The sequence below is a fragment of the Homo sapiens genome, chromosome 7 (assembly GCF_000001405.40).
Source record: "Homo sapiens chromosome 7, GRCh38.p14 Primary Assembly".
Lineage (NCBI taxonomy): Eukaryota > Metazoa > Chordata > Mammalia > Primates > Hominidae > Homo > Homo sapiens.
The window spans coordinates 27,536,591-27,557,644 of NC_000007.14; the positions used below are offsets into that span (position 1 = coordinate 27,536,591).

Below are 21,054 nucleotides of genomic sequence, written 5' to 3' on the forward strand. Positions count from 1 at the left end.
TAGCCAATGGTTTTTACTTCATTGTACACCTCGTATTCGATTGTATTGCCTACAGTTGTAGCTGGTGTTTGCAGTAGAACTTCCACAAGCACTTAGCCTATACAAAACTTCATTTTAGAAGGTCAAATGATCATCTTATAGTAAGAGTTCTGACAGGAAAATTATTCAAGAAATGCCAGAGGATGCATCACTATGACTAAGGAACATCCTGGTCCAGTGATGCTCAAGGTGAGAAGCACAGAGTCAATGGGCAAAGAGGGAAAGCTGTAGTACAGTATAACCTAGGTTCATCCAGCCTTTTACTTTATATAATCATTTATATCCAGAAAAATAAAAATAAAATTCTAAACATACATATGCATACCAATCCTGGTGTCAACACCAATTAATTGTGTATGCCATTTATGTTCCAGAAATGTACATTTTCCTCTTCCATGAAATTAGTCTAGAGAATGAACATGAAAACAAGTTACTAGTAACCAGTTTTTCAATTATGATAAGTGACCCATATCCTAAAACTGGCCACAATACAAACATAACACTGAAAAGGTCCCTATATACTACCACTTTTATTAAGGCTCTGTACAGACATGCTTTACCATCTTATGGACATTCAATTTTAAAATGTAAATGGTACATGATATTGATAAACCAATTAGTGCTGACGCAAAGCAAATTCCTCTTTTATCTCAATTACAACATGACAACTTAATAGGTCAAGATAGTTAAACATCTGAGACAAGGGCAATTCAATAAAACAACAGCATCTTGATATGGTAATTAAGAGGAAATGTGAATCCATTACTGTGTTTTCAAAAATATCTCAAGTATGTTGGCTCTTTTTATTACTTTTATCAAAAGCTATGGTATGAAACACTATTCTGTTTTGTGATATATTTGGTAAGCAGTTTTGGGGAATGTGATGAAAGCAACTGAGTAAAGCATCCTGCTCATTAAGCATTTTCTAAAGTAAGAAATGTATATTTATTATTTTCATGAAATATAAAACATTCAAAAATTAATTAGGTGATTAATCATATGTAGCATTACTAACCCAAAAGATTAAAGGCTAAAATTAAGACATTAACCTTAAGCATTTAAAAGATGATCATCCATAGGAAAAACAGAATTCCTGAATCACTTTAAGCAAAGTATGCCACTTTAATAGAAAGATACATACGAATGCAAAGTAACTAAACCACAGGCAAAATAAAATGAAAGAGTTATGCATATGAATTGCATCTTTATGAATGCTATCCAGTTTTTAGCCTGAGAATGAACCACCAAGAACACTTTTAGTGCAGATTTGGGGGACTATATTTTTAAAAGGTACATAAACTAGTCACATGGTAGCATACCACTTGAATTCACTACACACTAAAACCATGTCTTATACAAATTTGTCCCAACATTGCCAAAGTATGTTTAAATTTTACAGAAAAGTGTTTCTTGTATTTCAACATAATAGAAGAAATGGGGGTCCCACATAAAAAGGATAATATAGCTTCAAATGCACAACTTCAAATGCACAGGCAATACATTTTATGGCTATGGCAAAGAGTATTCATGCTCTCCTGGGTCCTATTGCTTGTCCAATAAGCAAAGTCTATTAAAGTTCAATAATGAAGTACTTTCAAAATGTTCTTGGATCAACTCATTTATCTCTCATGAATATCATTTTTTTAACATCAGAAAATCAAATAGGAAAGCCTATAAAAATGTTAGTATAAAAACGTACTATTCAACAAACCTGATTCCAAGATTCATAGCTTCAGCAGTTCCAATCATACTAATAGCTAACAGCATGTTGTTGCAGATCTTTGCCGCCTGAAAATAAATTGAGTACATATTAAATATCTGTATTTTCAAGGTAAAACTCACAGGACGTTTTTCCTTGCCCAATTCCAGGGGCTGCTTTCTAAAAGAAATAACATTCAACTGTTGATTTTCTCGAGTGCGGAAGAGAACCTGATGCAGCATGGCTCCCTCTGAACCTCACATGCTATCCCAGAGCAGACTTGCGGGTCTCCTCCACTAGGTAATAAATTTGCCTATGTGAAAATTTATTTTCCACATAGCTACTACGGGCTCAGCACTATAGGGCACAACTGCTCTTTAAGGGATGGAACTTACAATCTAATTGGAAATGGGAGTAATATGCTGTATGAAAAGGCAACAAAAACAAGTGGTGAATTGTAAGGTAGAGGCTATAAGAGATAGGAGTTCAGAGCAACAAGACCACTGAAGGCAGGAACAGAGAGGAAGTGGAACCTGAAATCATCCTTTAGGAGGCCAAGGCAGGATTTAAACAGACAAGAAAGAGAAAGAAGGAGATCCGGGGCGAAGGGTAAATATATAAGAAGGATTAAATATTTAAGAACATGGGATGTTGCTGGAGATCAGTAAGAAAATTGTTTAATATGCCTGTGTTTTAAGGAATGGTGAGAAATTTGATCGTTAAGACTGGGGCAAGGACATGTCAGCTATGAAAGCTAGGGTGGAGAGTTAAAATTTGACACGGTAGGAAATAGGGATCTATTCAAAGTTTCAGAATGGGGAAGCACTATGATGATACAAGCATCTTGATGGAGTTGGTCTGGGTTATGATGTTGGACAGAGTGGTAAATTTGACATTCAGAGACTATTAGGCCCCCTGACCAGTAAACTAGGTGTGAGACACTGAAAGAAAGGCTTGGACCAGGTCCTGTGTTGAATGGAAATGAAGGTCAACAATGAGAGTAACTTGAAGTAATAGAGCTTGGAGACTGACTGGACAAGAGTATGGAGACAATAAATATATCTAAGATAATACCAAGTCTAGAGTGAGATAAAGAGAGTCCTAGTGACCAGGATAAAAGCATTAAGAGGAGGAGAGAGAGTGTGTGTGTGTATTGGGAGGGGGAGGGAGACAACTAACAATTTCAGTGTTCAGTATTGTTTAATCATCTCTGTCAGTCACCTCATACTTCTAAATGAAAGTTACTTGCTTTTCAAGAAAAATTTGAAGTCCATGGGTTATTGCTGCGTGATTGTACTACAAATAGAGAGGACTATGGCAAGTACAGTTGACCCTTGAATGATGAGGGGGTTAGGGGTGCCAACCCCCAGTGCAGTCAAAAACCCATGTATAACTTTTGACTCTCCAAAAACTTAACTACTAATAGCCCACTGTTGACTGGAAGCCTCGTCAATAACATAAACAGTTGATTAACACATATTTTGTATATGTATTATATATTGTATTCTTATGGTAAAGCAAGCTAGAGAAAAAAATGTTACTAAGGGAATCATTAAGGAAGATAAAATATATTTATTATTCATTAAGTGGAAGTGGATCATCATAAAGGTCTTCAATCCCATCATCTTAATAATGAGTAGGCTGAGGAGGAAGAGGAGGGGTTGCTCTTCGCTGTCTCGGGGTGACAGAGGCAGAAGAGGTGGAGGTGGTAGAAGGGGAGGCAGAAGGGGCAGGCACACTCCGGATAACTTTATGGAAATTGTAATTTCTATCTGATGTTTTTGCTCTTTCATTTCTCTAAAAACGTTTTTGTATGGTACCAATCCGTCTTCCACTGTTTGCTTTATTTTCAGTGTCTGTATCAGAGAAGGGTCCATGTTGTAAAAGAAGTTGAAAGGAGTCTTGAATAATCAGAACCGTTCTGCCATACTGTCTAATGTCAATTTGTTTCCTGGCACTGCTTTTGGTACATCTTCTTCCTCATCATCTGGTACTGTTCAGAAGCACTCATCTCCATCAAGCCTCTTCTGTTAATTACTCTGCTGTGGTGTCTATTAGCTCTTGAATTAATCCAAGATCCATATCTTGAAAGCCTTCATACACTCCCCACCTTTTTTGCCATATGCACAATCTCTTTAGTGATTTCCTTGATTGGCCCTGCCATAAATCCTGTGAAGTCTTGCACAACATCTGGACAGTTTTTTCCAGCAGGAATTTACTGTTAGGGGCTTGATGGCCTTCAAGGCGTTTTCCACAATAACAATGGCATCTTCAATGGTGTAATCTTTCCAGATTTTCATGTTCTATCAGGGTTTTCTTCCACAGTGACAATCCTTCCCATAGAGTACCATGTGTAATGAGCCTTAAAGGTCCTTATGATCCCCTACTCTAGAGGCTGAATTAGGGGCGTTATGTTTAGGGGCAAGTTGGCCCCTTGGACACCTTCAGTGTTGAACTCATGTTATTCTGGGTGGCCAGGGGTACTGTCCAATATCAAAATAACTTTAAAAGTCAGTCCCTTACTGGCAAGATATTGCCTGACTCCAGAGACAAAGCCATTGATGGAAACAATCCAGAAACAGGGTTCTCATCGTCCAGGCCTTCTTGCTGTACAACCAAAAGACAGGCAGCTGGTATTTATCTTTTCACTTAAAGCCTCAGAAGTTAGCAACTTTATAGATAAGGGCAGTCCTGATTTTCAACCCAACTGCATTTGTACAAAACAGTAGAGTTAGCCTATCCTTTCCTGCCTTAAATCCTGGTGCTGCTTGCTTCTCTTCCTAATAAATGTCCTTCGAGCATCCTTTTTTTTTTTTTTTTCTCCGTAATAGGGCACTTCTGTCTGCATTAAAAACTCATTCAGGCAGATATACTTTCTCTTCAATGATTTTTTCTTAATGGCGCCTGGGAACTGTCTGCTGTCTCTTGGTTGGCAGAAGCTACTTCGCCTATTTCTTGACATTTTTTAAGCAAACCTCTTCCTAAAATTATCAAACCATCCTTTGCTGGCATTAAATTCTCCAGCTTTAGATCCTTCACTTTCTTTTTGCTTTAAGTTGTCATATTTTTCTTGAATCATATTAGATGTAAGTATGCCTTTCTACAGCAATCCTGCATCTACATAAAAGCTGCATTTTCAATGTGAGATAAAAAGATGTTCTGCAAAAAGTGCAAGCCTGCTGGAGTAGCTGCAGTGATGGGTTCATGACTATTCTTTTCTTTGTTTACAATGGTCCTTACATTGGATTTGTTTATCTTGAAATGGAGGGCAAACGCAGCCGCAGACCTCAATCCATGGTATGTATCAGGCAATTCAACTTTTTCTTGTAATGTCATGACTTTTCTCAGCTTCTTAGGAGCACTTCCAGCATCACTAGTGGCACTTTGTATGGGTCCCATGGTGTCATTCAAGGTTTATGGTATTGCACTAAACATGATAAAAAAATACAAGAGAATTCCAAGAGATCAATTTTTACTATGATACACAATTTACTAAAGAGATGAACCACTCACACAAAGATGATTAGTGTCACATGACATTTTATGCTCAATACTTGTAACACTTGAGTTCACTGCAATAGCAACAGGTGGCCACAAAATTATTACAGTAGTACAGTATTACTAGAGTTAATTTTATGCCATTATGATTTAATGCATCTTTACATTTCTTTACATTTCTCTCAACTGTAAATGGTGCCATGTATGGTCTATAAATATTTGTAAACTTTGATAAATTTTAACTCTTTATAACAGATTTGTGCATATTTATAAACTAGTATCTATCTACATATATTTTATGCGTTCACGACATATCTAACTTTTTCTTAATGTTTTTGATATTTCTAGGCCATGTGGTTCATCTGTTTTTTCAAACTGTCACAAATCTTCAAAAAAATTTTCAATATATCTATGGAAAAAAAATAGATGTATAAGTGGGCCCATGGAGTTCAAATCTGTGTTGTTCAAGGGTCAACTGTAATTACAAAATTAGATGGAGGAAAATAGCAACTCAGAAACAAGCACTTCGAATAAGAGCAGTTTTAAGGATGATTTCACTAGTTGCTGGGATGACAGACATGTCAAGATCCTAATAATGAATTTTTTTTCCCGTTTTTTTTTTTTTTTTTTTTTTTTTTGAGATAGGTTCTTGCTCTATCACCCAGGCTGACTGCAGTGGCTCTATCATGGCTCACTGCAGCCTCAATCCCCCACCCCTGGGCTCAGGTGATCCCCCCACCTCAGCCTCCTAAGTAGCTGTGACTATAAGTGTGTGTCACCACACTCGACTAATTTTTTTGTTCTTTGTAGAGATGGGGTCTTACTATGTTGCCCTGGCTGGTGTCAAACTCCTGGGCTTGAGTGATCCTCCTGTCTCAGCCTCCCAAAGTGTTGGGATTACAGGCATGAGCCATCACGTCTGGCCAATAATGGAAGTTTTTTAAATAAGTAAATTGGCTGATGTCTGCTTAAGCCCACCAGGAATGATGCAAAACTAATTTATTCCAAATAAATGTTTTAAAATCTGAGCAAAGAATCCATAGGTTGAAGAAAGAAGAATAAAAATATGGTCAGGAAAGAGAAAGGAACATTAGTCAATTTTACATCATCAAGTCAAGGTCATTAATGTAAAAATCTTACCTGCCCAGTCCCAACAGCTCCACAGTACACCACGTTGGAGCCCATGCACCCCAGCAACTCTTGGGCAGCAGCAAATTCATCTTCAACTCCTCCCACCATAAACGTGAGGTTCCCAGATCGTGCAGCTCCTACACCTGAATCATTTGGGGGTAAAGGGATAGAAGCAAAAGAATATATTTCTTAAAATGTTTAGGCAGGTAATAAAATTAGAGAAACCAACTAAAAACATCCTGCCTCCAATCTGTATTTATGCCAGGCATGTATAAGATACTCTAAATCTCTACAGAAATATTCAGCAATCAAGTATCACCCAGATTAATCACAAACCAAGAGAGACATACAGATTCAGTTGTACTCTCAATCTCAACTCACCTTAATCATTTTGGCACAATCATGGCCTAACAGATAAGGGAACTTAAAATGTAAATGTTATTATTCCCATGCATCTATTATTCTCCTAAGAAACCTACTAAGTTATAGAAAGTATACAAAAAAAAAGTTTTACCTGGGCCCTGATCAGCAAAGGAGCAGCCAGAGAGAGGTCTGCTGCCCACGTTTGGATTCGGGGTTCTTGCTCACTCACCCACTCTCCAAATACTATCTATAAGTGAGATCTACAAAGAGGGAGACCTGGCTCTTTGTTCCTTAAACAAGTAGGCATTTCAGATGGTAGATTCTTTTTTTAAGGCAAGGAAAACTTTGCTTATTTTGACTGATTATTCTCATATGTACTTTTCAATATTATTTGATTTTTCTTTTCCTTCCTGCTATACATCTTTTGGGCAATTTATTTTTAGTGATATGAGCAAGAAGAAGAAATAAACTTTAACACTGACTTCACTACTCCTTAGTAGCTTTTAACAGAGGCTTAATGCATGTTCATTCATTCTAATGATTGGAGAAAGAACCTTCAATTTAGCACAGAAAATATAATCTAGACTTGTCCTAAAAGGGAGAGGAAAAGCTTCATTCATCTAAATTTTTATTAACTATAAAATAAAACCAAGAGCGCTATTACTGTTTTTAATATTGAAAGAAATCTTGATTCATAATTTTCAAGTTAGGCTTTATTTTTCAAAACTTCCCAGGCAAGTATGTGGAAGAACTTATTTTACAGTACAGTAAGAACAAAGAAACTGTAATTGTCTGTAGTATGTATCAAATCTGGCCATTAGACAGCTGCAGGTAATGGCCTGCTTTTGGATTTAATGTGTTCAATGAAATACAGTATTTATATATTTTTTAAAAGCCCAAGTGAAGAGATACCTATTTCATTCAAATTGTGAATATTTTGCTATTGTCAAATCAAATAGCTTTCTATTTTACAGTTTATACTATTCATAAGCAATTATTAAAAGCCAAAAAAGTCAGCATTATGCTAGCCAAACAATCTTGGAAGAGTGAGTGCCCACATGTTATGAAAACCTGAGATGCTCACACATATGGTTAAATTACACCATTTTACAATATCTTCACTTTGGATTATATACAAAAACCCAATTTATAAAAAATGCTTTCAATTAGCCAATCTATGTCATTCAAACATTCTTATAACATTAAAGTGACTGCTGTTTTGTTAGTTTCTAGTTTACTTTATCAAGATGGTAAACCATTAATGTTTTATAATTATTTCGCTCAATTTCTAGACATTTTTATTTAAACCATATAACCACCATTCCTCCTAATCCTGTTGATCTCACCTAGAGAAATTAAGTAGACGATTTAAGTCAAAGCTTACAAGCAAATCCAGCACTATCCATCATAGATCAATAGTTTTGCTTTGTATTTAGATTACAGACTGCTAAATAGCTTCGGAGTCATTTATTTAAAAAAAATTAATGCTGACAATGGTTCTCAGCTGGTTAGTCTTTTGACAGGTGTACTTTCTCACTTATTCAAACACATATTTTAAAAAGCAGAAATAAGTTGCTTAAGCAAGAGAAGACCACAAAAGAAAGAATAATTTATCTTTTAATTCAGAGGTCTGTGGTAGTTCGACTCTTTCCTCATATTGATGTGGTATCATAATTATTTCCGACTTCATCATAACCTACATCCCAAAGTAAGCATCTAACTAAAATGGGTAATTCTAAAGTTTTGACATTCCTTGGAACCAAATCTTATCTTCTCATACATATTCCTTTAATCATATAACACTATCAAGCCTAGTCCCACAGCCAAAGACCTAAATTAGCTAGGCATAGTGGCTCACATCTGTAATCCCAGCACTTTGGGAGGTTGAGGCTGGTGGACTGCTTGAGCCCAGAAGTTTGAGACCAGCCTGGGCAACACGGCGAAACCGTCTTTACAAAAAATACAAAAATTAGCTGGGCATGGTGGCATGTGCCTGTAGTCCCAGCTACTCAGGAGGCTGAGATGGAGGATTGCTTGAACCCAGAAGGTGGAGGCTGCAGTGAGCTGAGATCGCACCACTGCACTCCAGCCTGGACAACAGAGCAAGACCCTGTCTCAAAAACAAAACAAAAAGACTGAAATTATCCTGAAATAAATGTAACCATTTTGAACTTAGGAAAGAATACCTAGAAAGCTGCGACTCTAAAACTGTGTAAGACAGCTTATGGATTTCAGGAGACATTGTATAGATGTTTATGTCTATCAAAAATGAAGAAATTTATTACAATGACACGCCATTTTGATTCTAGTCCATTTTCTAAAATAGAAAAACACACAATGCATACTCGGGTAGTTGCTAGAATACTGAAAGAAATACTTATTTTACATATATTTTATTAATTATATATACAAAACCAAAATCCACCCTGTGCTTGATTCTATTACAGCATTTATCATACTTTATTAAAATCTTGGATTTTCTTGTCTGATTCCTCCATTATAAACTTCCTAAAAAGTCAGCACTGAGGTCATGGCTTGCCAGCATCCCCATTATCTATTATAGTGCATGATATACTCAACAAATGGTTGGCTGATAAATAGCATGGTAGAAAGGGTAAAAGATCTGGAAATGTTATATTTTGTTTTGGGGATGTGCCACTTGCTGGCAAATTGTGTGACAAATTATTTAACTTCTGAGTCTCAGTGTATAAAACAGGAAAAGTATTAATAACTTCTTCATAGATTGGCTGTGAATATGTGAATGTATGCTGTAAAATAAAAATGCTATTTATTTATTTATTTTTTGAGACAGGGTCTTACTCTGTCACCCTGGCTGGAGTGTGATGATCATAGCTCACTGCAGCCTCAACTTCCCAGGCTCAAGCAATCCTCCCACCTCAGCCTTTCGAGTAGCTCGGACTACAGGCATGTGCCACTGTGCCTGGCTATTTGTTTTTGTTGTTGTTGTTGTTGTTTTTGGTAGAGATGGGGTTTCACTTTATTGCCCAGGTTGGTCTCAAACTCCTGGGCTCAAGCAATTCTCCTGCCTTGGTCTCCCAAAGTGCTGGGATTACAGGTATGAGCACCGTGACCAGCTAAAAATGCTATTTAAATGTAAGGGCTTACTACTTTTTAACTTGAATTTGTGAAGTGGGCATTTTCCTATTTAGTTACTTAAGCCATTGTCTTCTCTGGGATAATTTTAGCCCCTCTTTTTAAGTATTAGCGGGTTTGGGCCGCACCTATAAATAACAGAAGTAGGCTGGCACAGGTCAAGAAGAACTTTAGTGGTCTACAGCCACTATGTTAAGATGACATCACTGTGAAGACTTCTTGCAAAATCTTTCTCTGGCAGCATAGTGAATGGGAAAGACAAGAAATCTGCATTTGTTTTATCTATTCAACACAATTAACTGGGCACCTGCTAAGAATCAGGCCCTGTGGTAAGCCCTTGGGTGAAGGATGAATCACAAATGTCCCTGCTCCTAAGAAGGTACACACTGGTGATTCAGCCACTTCTCTCACTGTCCATCCCTACTACCACGGTCTGAGCTACAGGTAACTCCTGCCTGGATTACTGCAATAGTCTCCTACTTTATTTCTCTTCTCCTCTTGTCTCTGTAGTCTGTTCTCCATATAGCAGCTAGAGGAATCCTCTTAAAATATAAATCTAGTTCACCCAGCTCATGTTTGTTCCCTATTCCCAACCCTCCAAAGACTTCCTAGCCCTCTCAGTATAAAATCCCAAGTCCTACAAAGCCCTACATGATGTGGCTCTGGGCTACCTCTCCTATTTCATTTCATATCATTCTTCCCATCACTTGCTGCTTTCCAGCCACCTTGCACTCCTTGCTGTTCTTGAAACAGGTGAAGTATGTTCCCATCTCAAAGCCTTGAACTTGCTATTCCTTTTGCCTGAAATGTTCTTCCCCCAGATACTCATGACTGGTATAGTTTAGTTCATTCAGGCCTCTGTTCAAAATTCACCTCTTCAGAGAGGCCTTCCCTGACCACTCAACCTAACAATCTAAAATAGCATCTCATCACTCTCTCCTTTTCCTGCTTCAATTTTATTCATAGCATTTATCACCTCTTTAACAGTTTCATTTGTTTCTGGTCTGTATCCCCTAGAATAACACTACCTCCATGAGGGCAGTGATTGTTGGCTCATTCACTCACATCCACTAGCTCTAGTACATAAGAGATTCTCAGGAGGCAAGAGAGAAGGAAAGTCTCAAGGAAACAGACAACGACTGTAATACCATGTGATAACTGCTCTCACAAGATATGCACAAGATGCCAAGGATTACAGACAAAGCATTTCTATCATTCCAGCAAGTCATTAAATGCTGCTCACCCTGTTTCTTCATCTAGGATGTGAAGTGGTTAGAGAAAATCATCACTGAATTCCTTTTAAGCTTTTGAAATTCTATGATAATTTTGGGTTTTCAAGTTCATAATCATCCACTTTCCCACATTTATTATATTAATACACAAAACTATGGCATGTTTTACTTTGCACAAAAAAATTGTTCCAAATGAGAAAAAAGAAAATTTTCTCATGTAACTACATTAACTCTAAAAAGCCTAAATATTTGTGGCTGCCTTTAGTGCTTTTTCTAACACTTTCCTGTGATGATGTCTCTAGTGTTTCTCTCCCATAATACTACAATCAGAAACATTGAACTCATTTGTACAAATAAATGAAAAAGCAAATGCCCAAACTATGCAAAATGGGTAGCTGACTACCCTGATTTTAAAGTGATAGACATCTGTCACTTCTCGTGGTAGTCTGTTTTGATTTTAATAAGCCTTATAGTGGAGAAGCACTTTTAAATCTAAGCACAAATCCTCTAAGTCAGCCTCTCTCTCTCTTAAAAAAAAAAAAAAGTATCATAGAGGACTCCATTTGCTAAACTGCCTTCTTTCTTCCCTTCCACACCTACTTATAGTTGACATCAAAAATGTGATCACTGGAGATCCATTCTTCAGTGGTCCTCAACCCTGAGAATGAGGAAGAAACAATCCTTGTTCTCAAGGAGTTTGAAATCTTGTGCTTGTGATGGTTGGGGGGAGGGAGAAGTTGGAGAATGGAGGTGGGGGAAGGGATAAGGAAAATACATATAGCTAATAAAAAAGTCAGATTCATGCTATTAGAGGGCATACAGTTGTACAAAGGTCCAAAGAGGAAAAATATCATCAGCAAATATTTATTCAGTGCCTTTAACAACTTGCTAGATCTCTGTGCTATGTGTAAAGATTCAACGAGTAAACATATTTGCTGAATCAAAAATAAGGACTTGTTTTCTGTTATATTCAGAAACTACTTGAAATATGACCATCACAGACAGTCCAAAACTAAGGTCATGGTAGATATAAAACCTAGTCTTTGCACTCAAAAAATCCAAAATATAATTAGGGAAAAGAGATGTATAACCAGAAGAAAATGCCAAAAGGTAGCATCACATACCAAGTGTCAGATGAATGAGGGCAATCGCCACCAAATCCTGATTCCCCCTTTCCTTTCATTTTTCAACCCTCGTCATTGAAAGAATAATGAATTCTCAGAGAAGGGGTGAAAAAACAAGATATTGTTCTTGAAGAGTAATATTCTTGCTGTCAACTGTAGGTAGGCATATAAAAACTGATGAGAATACAGGTATTCTGAATCCATTTGTGAATCTAGTTCAGAGCAGTTTAACATGAACTGAGCAAGTAATCTGGTATGCTTTTTATTAGACGCTGAGTTCTGCCTGTTATCTAAATGCACATAATACTCCACCACTCTTCACAATCAATGTGGGTTTGCTTATCAGAGCAAAAAAAATAGAGAGCTTTTAGAAAATCAGAAATAAGGAGAAATAAGTTCAAGAGACCTACTGTACAACATGGTGATTATAGTTAATAACAATGTATTGTATTCTTGAAAATTGCTGAGAGTAGATTTTAAGTGCTTTTATCACAAAAATAGTATGTGAGGTAATGCATATGTTAATTAGTTCGGTTTAGCCATTCCACAATATTTACATCTTTCAAAATATGTTGTACATGCTAAATATATACAATTTTTGTCAATTAAAAAATGAAATCGAATTTTCAAAGGAAAACAAAATCAGTATTAAGAATAAAAAAAGAAACCATAGTATCTCACAACAAATCTCAAATATAGATCTGAGTATCCTACAAGTCTTGGGAAACTCTATTTGAGAGCAAGCATATATTTTCCTTGAACTCAGTTAACATATTTTTTAAAAATTCTCATTTGGAACTTCATGCAGGAACAGTAAATGAAGTAATGAACAATGTTTTCACATTTTTGCATCAAAAATAGTGACCTTTTTTCCCAAGATAAACTGAATTGAAGCTTGGTTCTTGCTTTATACCCTTTTCAGGCTAATCTTAGCCTTATACCTATAAAAGAAGTAAAACTTACATCACCTCATTCTAACATTTATGCTAATCTGTCTCCTAATCTTTGGGCAGTTTTATTTGATATAAGAATGAAAACAGGCTCAAGGCTTAAGTTATACATTAACATGAAAATAACCAGTAACTGAAAACATTATTCACTATTACTTAGCATTTCTTTTCTTTTCTTTTCTTTTTGAGATGGAGTCTCGCTCAGTCGCCAGGATGGAGTGCAGTGGCACAATCTCAGCTCATTGCAACCTCTGCCTCCCAGGTTCAAGCGATTCTCCTGCCTCAGCCTCCCGAGTAGCTGGGACTATGGGCGCGTGCCACCACACCTAGCTAAATTTTTTTGTATTTTTAGTAGAGATGGGGTTTCACCATGTTGGCCAGGATGGTCTCGATCTCTTTGCCTCATGATCCTCCTGCCTCGGCCTCCCAAAGTGCTGGGATTACAGGCATGAGTCACCACGCCCAGCCAGCATTTCTTATATAATCTCAAAGTTCCTCCCATTTTTTCTCCATTAAGTTATTCTTTCTGAAGTACCTGTATATTTATGCTTCAGCAAAAAGGAGAACTACATAACTCACTGTACCCTCTCTTCTGTCTTCAGTTGTAGGAAGCAATGAATTTTCTCTTCTCTCCTTAAATGAGCTCTGATTTTTAAATCTTTATTTTCCTTGTCAGTGAATCCTAATTACTTCTCTGGTCTCCTCATCTAACCCTTGCAACAAAAACTACCACTCAATGCACACTGAAAACTATTTGCAATGGCCAGAATGTGCAATGATTTTTCATGCACCCATGCCTATCTTGGGCTGTTCCCTCACATGAAATACCCTTCTCTGCCTTCTTTGCCTGGCTAACTCCTGCTTATTTTTCAAGACTCAACTCATGACAACTCAGAAGTATTTCATGACCCCCCTTTCTCTATTCTTAAAACATTCCTGGTGATATCTCTAATAAAGCACTTACACTACTCTAATCAATGATTTTTCTGGTGTGTCTTATTAAGATCCTTATTGTCATGAGCTGTTTGAATCTTTGCACCCAGCACATGGCATGTGTCTGATAAATGTTAATTTTCTTCTTAGTAGGCAGGCAGATATCAATGGCTAATAAAATGACCAAGAATACTCATTAAGACTCATTAAGACTTAATATTTTCTAGTTTATCAAAAAGCTCTTTTTAGTATCAATGTGTTTATTGTAATCTTGAAAATTACTGAGAGTAGATTTTTAAGTAACTTCACCACACCACACCAAACACACACATACACATACACACAGATGGTTAGTATGTGAGGTAATTAACTAGCTCAGTTTGGCCAATCTACAATGTATACATATTTTATAACATGTACACAATATATACAATTTTTTTTTGTCAATTACTTTTTTAAAAGCTCAACTTTGGGGCAGCATGATTCTTTACATGTGGTAATGGCATTTTCACTTACTGCTACATAAACATGCATAAGCTAAGTGTACATGTATGAGGACATTATTATGAGGAGTTAAAAGTGAAAAACGTGATTGAGTTAAAAGACTTGGAAAGAAATCACAGTGCAGGGTCACACCTCTTGGACAAGTTATAACACCTCTCAATCTTGGTTTCTTCATCTGAAAACAGTGATAAAAACACTGGCCATACTAACTTTGACACTCAAATGAAACAATACATTGGAAAGGTATATAGCTATTACACAAATGTTATAAAAAATTTAAACATAACAAGTAAATTCATTCAGCTTAAACATGTCGAAGTCTTTGATCTAACAGTAGGAAAGAGCTGAAATTTGGAATTTAGCCTTACTGAAAAGCTGACCCAAAGAATTATGATAGATAAACCATGATGCAGGTGCTGATAACTTAGACGAACTACTCCCAAGTTACAAATAAGGAGATCATTTTCAATTCTATGACTATTAGAAAGAAGGCTTCAAATCCAAAGAGGGAAGAGATGGAAAACTAAAAAGTACAATTCAAATTATATTTGTCTTTAATACTGTAAAAACATTGCCACCAAAGCACTTCCATTGATATATAGCCAAACATAGTAAATCACTTAATTTACTCAAAAGAACTTAAATGTTTTAACCAGTGTGCCATCAAAAGAGATCAAGAAGAGGACCAATGGGACTTGGGCTGCAATGTGAGCCATCTTTAAAATGCAATTGTTCTAATCATTTTCTACAGATGCAGCCTCACAAGGGGCTGCTGTCACAGGGACCATTTACGACTTGCTATGGTGTCTCTATTGTTTACCAGCGACATTCGCAGAAAAAGGCGACAGCTGGGACAGAAAGCTGCTACTCAACGAACAATATAATCCCGTGAAAGTAATCAACAAATTTAAGGGTGTTAATTAACTTTACACTTTATCATGTTCAATTAGTTGTCCTTTCTAGAAAAGATTGCCGTGCACAATCAGTTTAGAGCGTGCCATGTTTGATTTGTAAGTGATCACTGTTTCTGTTTCAGAGTCCATGTCAGATGTTCTCTTGGGTTTTGGTGACACAGATGAATGGCTTTGCACATGTTAGGGGTGATCTGGTTTAACATAAGCCAGCATAACATAACCCCTTGTTAACACTATTTCTGGCATTATCCAAGCTGGAAACAGAAAAGCAAAAACACTCACAGCACTCTTCTGGAGTCAGATAAACAAAGTTTAGTTAGCTTTTCCTGAAATAAACACAGACACAAATACATGAAGAAATAAGCAATTTTTCATCATTATTTTTCAGAGTAAGGCTTGTCTTTCAGGGGCATGTTTGGGATCATTTCCTCCCAGCAAGATCTCAAAGCTCTGCTGCATTATGCACAAAGCACCACTGTATCCTCAGACTTTACATAACGCAGACAGTCTTTTCTATGGCAGTTGAATAAACGCTAGGGATGTGTTGTTAAGTGCTGGCTTGTGTTAAATTCTAGAATATGACTTTTAAATCCAGAAACTGTATTTCACAAGTATGAAAAATCTGCAGGAAGAATACTAATCTATGAATGCAATTTGCCTTCTCTCTTACCTTAATGCACCTGTTCCTACTTGCTAATAGGACAAGGAAAAGCTCATGATGGAGTGACAATATATTCAGTATTGCATTTTAATGAAAGTCACTGCAGCAGTTCCTCTGAATTGATAAATAGAGCTCTGCATCAAAATATTTCATAAGCCATTGACAAAGTGAACAAAATTCAAAACTGAGATTTGGTAGGTGTTTAAGAAAACAAAAGCAAGGGACATGCATCTATCTCTTTTTTTAGAAGAGATACCTATATACGATTGTGAAACATCTTAATAAAGCTATACCTTGCTCTTACAGACTAGCCATTTCCTGCACAACACACAAATTAAATGCATATAAATAAACTATAGCTGATTAGCTAAAGCCTACACAAGGACAAAGCTGAGATTCTTCAAAATAGAAAAGTTGTTAACTCTGAAAGCTAATAATGTCCTAAGTTAAATATTAAAGAAGGAAATTATAGGCTATATCTGAAACAGCTGAAACCACAATACACAGCAGCAGAAAACATTAGTTTTCTGCAGAAGATCTGCAGGGAGAAGAGAAGCGGTCGATAGATCCTTAAATTGGAAGCAATAGCCGTTCTTCTATCCCAAGTTGGCAGCTGCTACATTTGCAGACCTGGTTCATTATTTACCCATAATGACCATCAAGCTGCAGTCAAAGTCAGATCACAACAACTGTCAGCAGCTCTTTTAATTAGCCTTGCCTGAATTCAGATAAATATCACAATAGACCTGCTTATGCTGAAAGAGCAACAGAATGTTCCGCATGGAGCTGGCTGGCTTGAGGAGGACTGATGCAGTACAGAAGCCGTAAGACAGAAATGCAGAGTGGGGTTTTTAAAGGGAGGGCAAATCAGAGATGAAATGGTTTTCTTTTATTCTAAAAATCACTTTAAAAAGCAATTCCTTGGCATTCACCTCAGATCAAGATGGTGCACAATGTCGGTTTACAATAAAACACTAAACTCCTGAAAGCTAAATAGCTGGAGCACAAAGACAGTTAACTTAATGCCCCTGGAGAATATGATTTTTAAAACTCCGTCTTGCAAATAACGTATCTTTCAGCTTTAAAAGTCATTTTTATTTTTACTATTTATTTGAGATGGAGTTTTGCTCTTGTCGCCCAGGCTGTAGTACAAGGGTGTGATCTTGGCTCACTACAACCTCTGCCTCCTGCATTCAAGCGATTCTCCTGCCTCAGCCTCCCAAGTAGCTGGGTTTGTATGTTTGTTTGTGTTTATGGAGTTTCGCTCTTTTTGCCTAGGCTGGAGTACAGTGGTGCGATCCCAGCTCACTGCAACCTCCACCTCCCGGGTTCAAGTGATTCTCCTGCCTCAGCCTCCTGAGTAGCTGGGATTACAGGCGCCCACTACCACAGCTGGCTAATTTTTGTATTTTTAGTAGAGACAGGGTTTCACCATGTTGGCCAGGCTGGTCTCGAACTCCTGACCTCAGGTGATCCACTTGCCTCAGCCTCCCAAAGTGCTGAGATTACAGGCGCGAGCCACCGCGCCCAGCCAAAAGTCATTTTTAAAAGCCAAATAAGAGGAAAAAAAAGCCAAATAGCTTGTAATCATTATGTCCTTCTATTTTACTTTCTTTAGGCAACACGTGGTTTGTAACATTTCTGTGATTGGAGTTGGCTATTTTCCTGTAAGTTTCACATGCATCCTTTCATTCAGCATTAACAATCACAAAGTAAAACAAGGCCAATAACCAAATTCTCAGTAATCCAATTACCACCAATACCACACCCTTCTGGGTATCCTCCCATCCCTATTCCCTGTCTAGTTTGCTTGAGAAGAAAAACAGGCATAATAATCATGTGCCCTCTATTTTAAAGAGAACTGATTATTCACATGAGTTCTGTTATAACTTTGAGGGTAGGTATACAGAAGTAATGGCTGTCAGAGGAGAGAGGGAAGAGAGTAAGAAGAAATAAGCAAAAGGCAAGATGATAACCCGGCAGCAAACAGTAGAAAACTGGGGACAGCAGAAAACTAAAGATTAAGAGAAGGCTGTGCTAATAAGCTACACTTGGCTAACCAGGAATTATCTCTTTCATGTGAAAATCCCTTGAAAATGTGGACTCTCATATTTTGGGGTTGGGGTACAGTTGAAGAGGGTGCCAACTCCTACAATGAGTTGAGTATGGTCCACTCTGCCATTCTTGGTAGCCCCTCAGCCAATGCATAGCCTTTTGCAACCATTTCTGATGGTGCATTAACATAACATTAAGGAAAGGTAACTAACCAGATTTGCGTGAGGACAAAGGACACAGTACTGCTTGTATAGAGTTTGAATGCCATGTGACTGTTTCCTTATTGAGCAGAAAAACACTCCTCTGGGAAGTAGTTTAAAAATTATTTTATTTTTGGTCTACTTCAAGGACTAAAACCTTGGAATAAAATTTTTACAGAATTCTGTATATGTGATAAAGGCAACCACTGCTTAATGGTGGTAATTTAAGTGGGGAGAACTGTTCTTCCGGTTTCATGAGAACCAATCACAGCAAAAGGAACATTTCTTGCTCTACTTTTTTTTTTTTTTTTTTTTTAAATAAAGACTAAGCCAAATACATAAACCTATTATGGATAATGGCCTTCTCCCTCCTCAGCCCTTAATACAACCCACCTCCTGACTACATACAACTTGTTTCAGTAGAACACTGAGTACAAAGACAAGACTCAACTTGTCAGTTCCAAGTCTAGAGTCAAAATTTCAACTATCTATCAGCTAATTCTTACTACTGGCCCTCAGAAGCACAATGAATTCAACATGTCCAAACACCTTTTGTCCCCCTACCCTCTCCTCAAATAGACCCCAAATTGGTCTCCTGCATGTCCATTCAGTTATGATGTTACCATTACCCACTTATGGCAGCATTTCCAAATTTACAGTGATATAAATGTATAGATATGTATTATTTATTTGGATCACTTGAAAGACAATTCAATACTATGTCAAGAAGTTCAGGCATATAAAAAAAGTACCCAGCCAGTCAAAATCTAGAGACATGATTCATGCAGTATTTGCCAAAGTAGAACAGAAACAAATCCTCGTAAAAATCATGTCTATCTTCTCAAGTCAAATATATATGCATGCAAGTGTGTGTCCTGAAAGCTTAACCTGTTAGGGTCACATGATCAAGGGTAGCCAACTGCATTTCTTTCCTTGCCCTTTCTCTTCAAGGGGCATACTAAATAAACACCTTCAAGTGTATTCTGAAAACAAAATTTAAAGATAGTCGTGAATTAGAGAATACAGAAAGGATTTTAACTTAATGCAAAAAACATTCCACTTTGATAAATTACAGTATTTGAAAAAACGTCCACCATAAGTTACTAATTCTAAGACTCAGTTTTCTCACTTGTTAATAATATCTGCTTCGACAGGACTGTGAAAGACTACATAAGCAATGCTTGATACACGATAGTCATTCTGTGTCCTCTAGAAAAGTCGAGTATCTTTTTACATAGTTCACTGGGTTTCCTCTTCAGTAAACTGCCTATCATGTTTCTTTACTTTTCTCCTGATTCTTGGTCTTTTTCTTGTTAATTATAGATTTTATGTCTACTCTGTTATATATTTTGCAAATAATTTCCCTCAGTCTGTTGTTGCCTTTTAACTTTTCTTTTTGTCACAAAGATGTGTGTGTGTTTTCAATTCTTGGATCTGTTAATTTTTTAATGGTTTTTTATTATTTGTCTTGCTTCAGAAGGTTTTCCTCATTCTAAGATTTTGAAAGAATTCTCTTAGACATTTCTTTGGCCTTCTTACACATTTTTTAAAACAATCAGTTATTTAATCCATCTGCTATTTATTTTCAGTGTATGGGGTGAAGTAGGGATCTGCTCCCCACAATGAATTGTCCTAACACAATTTATTAAAGAATTCATTTCCCCACTGATCTGATTGCCTTACTCAGATTCTAAGTACCTATACATACAAAGGTCTGTTTGGGGACTTAACTCTGTCTCCCAGTCTGTCTGTTCTTGAACAAATATGATGCTGTTTTAATCACTGTAACTTTATACTGTGTTCTGATATTTATGGAGTCCTAATTGTCTTATTAAAAAATTTTTTTGGGCAGGTGCCTATAATATTTGGGAGGCCAAGGCAGGAGGATAGAGGATAAAGGAGGATAGAAGAGGATAGAGCCTGAGCCCAGGAAACCTGCCTGTGCAACATGGTGAGACCCTGTCTTGACAAAAATTTTTAAAATTAGCTGAACATGGTAACACATGCCTGTGGTCCTAGCTACTCAGGAGGCTGAGGCAGGAGGATCACTTGAGCCTAGGAGGTTGAGGCTATAGCGAGGCATGTTCACACCACTGCACTCCAGCCTGAACAACAGAGTGAGACCCTGTCTAAAAAGGAAAAAAAAAAAAATTGGCATTTTTTATTTACTTATTCTCCCAGATGAGCTTAAGGTTTTTTTTTTAAGAAATAACACGGTTTTGCATTACAATTTATATATTATCTCAAGAGAATGGACATGTTTACATGCTTTTCCAAGCAGATAAGTGGTGTCTCCATTTATTCAGATCTTATTTTGCCTTTATAGTTTTGTCATCTTCCTCATATAGGTCTTACACATTTCTTGTTAAATTTGTTAAGTACTATTCTAGACCTCAGAACCAAGAATAATATTAAACTATATTATATAGTTACATATTGTCTTAGTCTGTTTTGTGCTCCTATCACAGAATATCACAGACTGGGAAATTTATAAAGAGCAGAAATGTATTTTTTCACAGTTTTGGAGGCTGGGAAGTCCAAGATCAAGGCACCAACAGGTTCAGTTGTCTGGTGAGGGCTGCTCTCTGTTTCCAAGATGGCAGCTTGTTGCTGTATCCCCTCCAGAGGGGAGGAACA

The 21,054-nt window shown here is 37.0% G+C and overlaps 1 protein-coding gene across 4 annotated transcripts in view; it reads right to left on the reverse strand.

Moving 5' to 3' along the window:
* HIBADH (3-hydroxyisobutyrate dehydrogenase) overlaps positions 1-21,054 on the reverse strand; it is a 137,442-nt gene that overhangs the window by 11,149 nt on the left and 105,239 nt on the right. For all 4 annotated transcript variants that reach the window (NM_001430749.1, NM_152740.4, XM_047419834.1 and 1 more), the window contains 2 exons: positions 6,377-6,510; positions 1,751-1,827 (listed from right to left, as the gene is read on the reverse strand). In NM_001430749.1, the coding sequence (NP_001417678.1) occupies positions 1,751-1,827; positions 6,377-6,510 (211 nt within the window). The remainder of the gene's footprint in view (positions 1-1,750; positions 1,828-6,376; positions 6,511-21,054) is intronic.